Source organism: Homo sapiens, chromosome 16, assembly GCF_000001405.40.
Source record: "Homo sapiens chromosome 16, GRCh38.p14 Primary Assembly".
NCBI classification, from domain to species: domain Eukaryota; kingdom Metazoa; phylum Chordata; class Mammalia; order Primates; family Hominidae; genus Homo; species Homo sapiens.
In genome coordinates this window covers 33,459,294-33,463,743 of record NC_000016.10, presented here as the reverse complement: position 1 = coordinate 33,463,743, position 4,450 = coordinate 33,459,294, and the positions used below count along the sequence as shown (strand labels likewise).

Here is a 4,450-nt window from a genome sequence, read left to right as displayed (position 1 = left end):
AACAGGTTGGGGCTACATGGGATTGGAGGGGAGGGTAGGACCCCTTAAAAGAAAGGCCCTAGAAATTGTCCCTACCCCTTCACACCCCCACAAGTTCCCTTTGTCATCTTCCACCCAGGACCTGTCAGAATCCTGCCCTTCCTTCTGTCTCCAGATCAAAGTCCTCCAGGAAATGCAGCTGCTTCAGTGACAAGAGATAATCGTCATCTTCTGACTGAGGAGGAATTTGGGGTTTGGTTCCAGTGCATGAAGCTGCACAGTCAGAATAAAAGATGAGGGCCTAGCAGATTAGCAAAGACTAGGAGAAGACTCTATCTTGTGGCCAGCTTCAGAGAACCTGGGGCCATAGCTCCCTGGTCAACATTAGGCCTGCTGCATGGGGACCCTGGGCAGGCAGTGGGAAGCCTGAGGTGTGGCTCCTGGTAGCCTCACAGCTGCCACTATTTTCTGAAGCTCCTCCTACTTGTTTTGTCAGACGGGCCCCTATTCCAGCAGGCCAGCAACACCCTCAAGACCAAGAACAGGCCATGGTGAATCTCAGGGCCATTGAGTGCCTGGGCTGGCAGGGGCAGAGTGCCTCAGGGCTCAGTGACATTTGGCCTGAGTGTTGGCTTTGGGAGTCAGACAGCTGCACTGGGCTCCCAGCTTCACCATGACCAGTAATGTGTCTGGGGCCGGGGCCTCACTGCTCTAAAACTTGAGACACCATAGTGATAAATTTTACACACCCTTCTAACTGCTTTTTCTTTTTTATCTGTCTTTCTCTATAATCACCATGTACTACTGATCTCTGTTTATTTAAATTAATAAGCATGTTATACAGTGTGTATTATTCTTCCTCGTGACTTCTTTACTACATTGTATGATTCCACTCATATGAGGTACTTACAGTAGTTCCATTCATAGAAACTCAAAGTAGAAGAGTAGTTCCTAGAGGCCAAAAGGAAGGTAACGGGAACAGAGTTTGAGTTTTGCAAAATGAACAAATTTCCCTATGAATGTGGATGATGGTTGTAGAACAATGTGAGTATGATTAATTCCTCTGTCCTGCACTTTTAAAAATTGTTAAAATGGTTAATTTTATGTATATTTTACCACAATGTAAAAAAGGACTTTTTTAAATGAACAAACTGTAGATATCTGTAACAGCATAAATATCACAAATATAATATTGCATTAAAAAATTGATGTAAAAGTATCCATACTGTGTAATTTTTTATATTACACTCAAAAATCAAAACTGAGGTTCTGGCTTCCACTAATGATGAAGTAGCTAACTGAACTAACACTCTCACACAGAAAAATGATGAATCCTGGGTAAATTATTATATATCATTATAGAAACATTTCTATATACAATACATACATGAAATATGTGTATATAAAAACTGAATGCATATTTTGGCTATGACTTCCATAGGAGAGATAAGTATTGAAGATAGAATCCAGCCCATTTAACACCATCTTTTAAAAACAACACTCTTCACAGGGACAAAACAGAATCCAGTCTTTTTAATCCAGTCTTGTATACAGTCTCCAGGGCACAATTTCCAATTCAAGGGATGCGTGAAGACACGTGAAAATGTAATAAATACACAAGATAAAAAGCAGGCAGTAGCCATCTCCAAGATGTCCAAGATGTAAACGGCAGACAAGAATTTGAAGGCAGCTATTATAAACACGCTCATGAGGGCAAAGGAAAATATTCTCATAAATGAATAGATGTGAAACATCAGCAGAGAAAAAATAGCCATATAAAAAATGAGAAATAAAAATAATAATTTTGAGCTTTTCTATAGTTCAGAAACAGAGACATAGCAATATAATTTATCCAATCTGAGGAGAGGAAAAAAAAAAGAAGTTTAAAGAAAATGAACAGAGCCTTACAGACCTGTGGGATGACTGAGTCTGAGAAAAGGTGAGAGATAGAAAAAATCAAATGGAGTATAAAAGTAAATCAACAAAATTTAAAGAAAATAAACACAGCCTTAGAGACCCATGGAATTATTGAGCCTGAGGAGAGGAGAGAGACAGAAGAATTAGATGGGTTGGAAAAATAAATCAATAACTAACAGCTGCAAACTTGCAAAAATTGTTCAAAAACCTATTTTTTTTTTTTTAATCTAAAGATCCACGAATCCCCCACAAAAGTACAAATAAAACCATACCAAGGCCATATTGCAATTTAGGAAAGCAGCAGGCAGGACTTTCAATTGACTTGATATGATTTATCATTTTTACTATTTGTAAGAATGGAAATAAGTTCTTAGAGTTTTGGTCTTGGAGAAAGTCTGACGTTAAGGACAAACGACAGTTATTAAAGGCAGATGACTTTCCAGACTTGTCTTAAATGTTCCATTCTTCACCTTAGAACTTATTTAAATTTGTTTCTTCCAAATACTGCAGTAATATTGATGCTCCAGAGAGATGTCCCACGGAGATTCTGCTCTTGTGCGTCTGCCCTGCACGGAGCTGAGGCAGTGTCTATCAGTTTCAGAAGCGAGTAGTCGTGCAGTACTTAACCTGAAAAACTTAATGGAAACATGAATTAAGAGAATGATCACTGTTTAGTTCTATCAGAAAACTATTAAAAGTGGTCCAAGGGGGTATTTAAAAAGAGATATTAAAGTATTTTCCAAGGGAGCCCTATTCAGGGTAGAAGCGCAGACACTATCCCTGACCTCACCACACAAACTACCCTCATGTGTTGGGAGGGACCAAGGGGCGCTCTGGTCCTGCTGACCTGCATTAATCACGGCCCGGAGGTCCACACTAAGACCCTGAGGCCTGGGAAGCAGCCTGGGTGGGGTCAGAGAAGCGGTGGATGAGGCTCCACAGCAGCTCCCAGGGTCCCATCCCCGTAGCTGTTTCCTTAGTGGATGCAGCAGGGTCAGGCCCTTCCGCTGTGACGTTTTCTCCTCTTTATTACACTGGTGGGAAAGTCTCCGTGAGAGGCCCGACCTAGATATGGACCACGCAGCGAGCCCGGGGGTCCAAGCGGCGCTCCTGGGGTGCAGAGGATTTGTGACAGCCTAGAGAACAGAGGAAATGGTTTTGAAAAGGCAAATGGCAGGTGACTAGGGACACGATGTTTTCACTTCTGGCAGTCAAGTGACAGTTTCAGACACTCATGAACGGGCTTCTCGAGGGGATCCCAAGGAGCCTCCAGGTCGGCCGCCATTACCCTACACCTAGGGACGGGCTGCACTGCGCATTTCCGAAAGGGCAGGCCCCTTAGCCCCACCCCTAGGAATGGGTGCACTGCGCATGTGTGAAAGGGCAGGACTTTTATCCCGCCGCTAGGGACGGGCTACACTACCCATGTCTGAACGGGTGTGACAAGAGGGAGGAGCGAGAAGGGACGGGGCGGAGCGGGAGATGGGCAAGAATAGGGGCGCGGTGCGGCCAACGTCCGGCGGAGGATCGTTACCACGGCAACGCTGCTGTGGAGGCCATGAAAGGCGAACGGCCCTTTGTTGGCTGACAGGAAATCGAGACACTCGTGAGGGGGCTTCTTGAGGCGATCCCAAGAGGCCTGAGAACTGCCACATCCGCGGCCCTTAACCCAGCCCTAGGGACGGGCCGCACTGCGCATGTCTGAAAGGGAGTGACAAGAGGAGGAGCGAAGGAGGGTGGGGCTGAGGAGGAGGCGGGGTGAGAAAAGGGGCGGGTCGCGCCCCACCCTTGTCTGAGGAGCGTTACCTTGACAACCCTGCCGCGGAGGCAGTGAGAGGCCACCGGCCCTTTGTTGATCTGCAAGGTATCAAACTTCGAACATGACAAGCATAAAAGCCTGCAGCTCGAGGAGACAGGGTGTCACAATTACCAGGTGAAACTAGCCGCCCTAGCTCCAATGTCTCTTCAGCAGGAGAGATTTGGAAACAGCAAGGCTCCTCTCCGCAGGGCGAAACTGCTGGGCTGCGAAAGGCGGGACAGGGAGCGGAACCGTCTTCAACCGTTCCGGGAGTTCTGGTGTCTGGTCCGCTCCCGGCTGTTGGTCGCAGGGCAGAGGGTCTAGGATGCCAGCTGGCTGCGGGCTGGGAGATGCAGGGTGAGGCGCGCATCGCGGTGCATACTGGGAGTTGTAGTCTCTCCACCGTTCCCCACGGTGGATGGTGGGGCTACAGGAGGACAATCCCAGATTGAGACAGGAGCGGAGGCGGGGCGCGGCCGTGCAGGGAGGGGGAGGGCGGTGTAGGCGGCTTCGTTTACCAAGCTTGCTGGCCATTGATTTCATGCCAAACCCTCGCCAAGGGGATTAAATCAGGAGAGGAACTTGAAGGGCAGGCCTGGTCTCGCCAGTGAGGAGGATGTGTTGTTGGGAAGTGCACCCCGCCTTTGCCTAAATCGAGAGTGTCTGGTCCTCACTCACGCGACTTCGACTTCCAGCTGCTCAGCTCGATTTTCTTTCCCACTCGCACCCGAGTTCTTTCCAGAGCGTCCCACCTCC

At 47.3% G+C, this 4,450-nt stretch overlaps 1 protein-coding gene across 6 annotated transcripts; it reads right to left on the bottom strand.

Annotated features, from left to right (window-relative positions):
* Positions 1 to 1,494: 1,494 nt before the first annotated feature.
* On the bottom strand, positions 1,495 to 4,132 carry TP53TG3F (TP53 target 3 family member F). Of its 6 annotated transcripts, none has more exons than NR_158199.2 (4): positions 3,703 to 4,132; positions 3,431 to 3,597; positions 2,744 to 3,032; positions 1,495 to 2,531 (listed from the first exon to the last, which is right to left on the bottom strand). NR_158199.2 is itself a non-coding variant. In XM_011546033.2 (3 exons), the coding sequence occupies exons 1-2, from the start codon at positions 4,062 to 4,064 to the stop codon at positions 3,561 to 3,563; spliced, it is 399 nt and encodes a 132-aa protein (XP_011544335.1). In that variant the 5' UTR covers positions 4,065 to 4,132; the 3' UTR covers positions 1,495 to 2,523; positions 3,431 to 3,560. The 6 variants fall into 6 exon arrangements, 3 of the variants coding, with proteins under 3 accessions (XP_011544335.1, XP_016879445.1, NP_001316995.1); NR_158200.2 differs by having other exon boundaries at positions 1,495 to 2,523; NR_158198.2 differs by lacking the exon at positions 3,431 to 3,597.
* Positions 4,133 to 4,450: the final 318 nt, after the last annotated feature.

What these genes read in the sequence shown, in the direction of transcription:
- TP53TG3F (XM_017023956.2), bottom strand. Translation starts at nt 4,064, where the DNA reads ATGCGCGCCTCACCCTGCATCTCCCAGCCCGCAGCCAGCTGGCATCCT. An exon ending in TCCGCGGCAGGGTTGTCAAG is followed by an intron (nt 3,033 to 3,702) that starts GTAACGCTCCTC and finishes TCTGTTCTCTAG; the next exon opens with GCTGTCACAAATCCTCTGCA.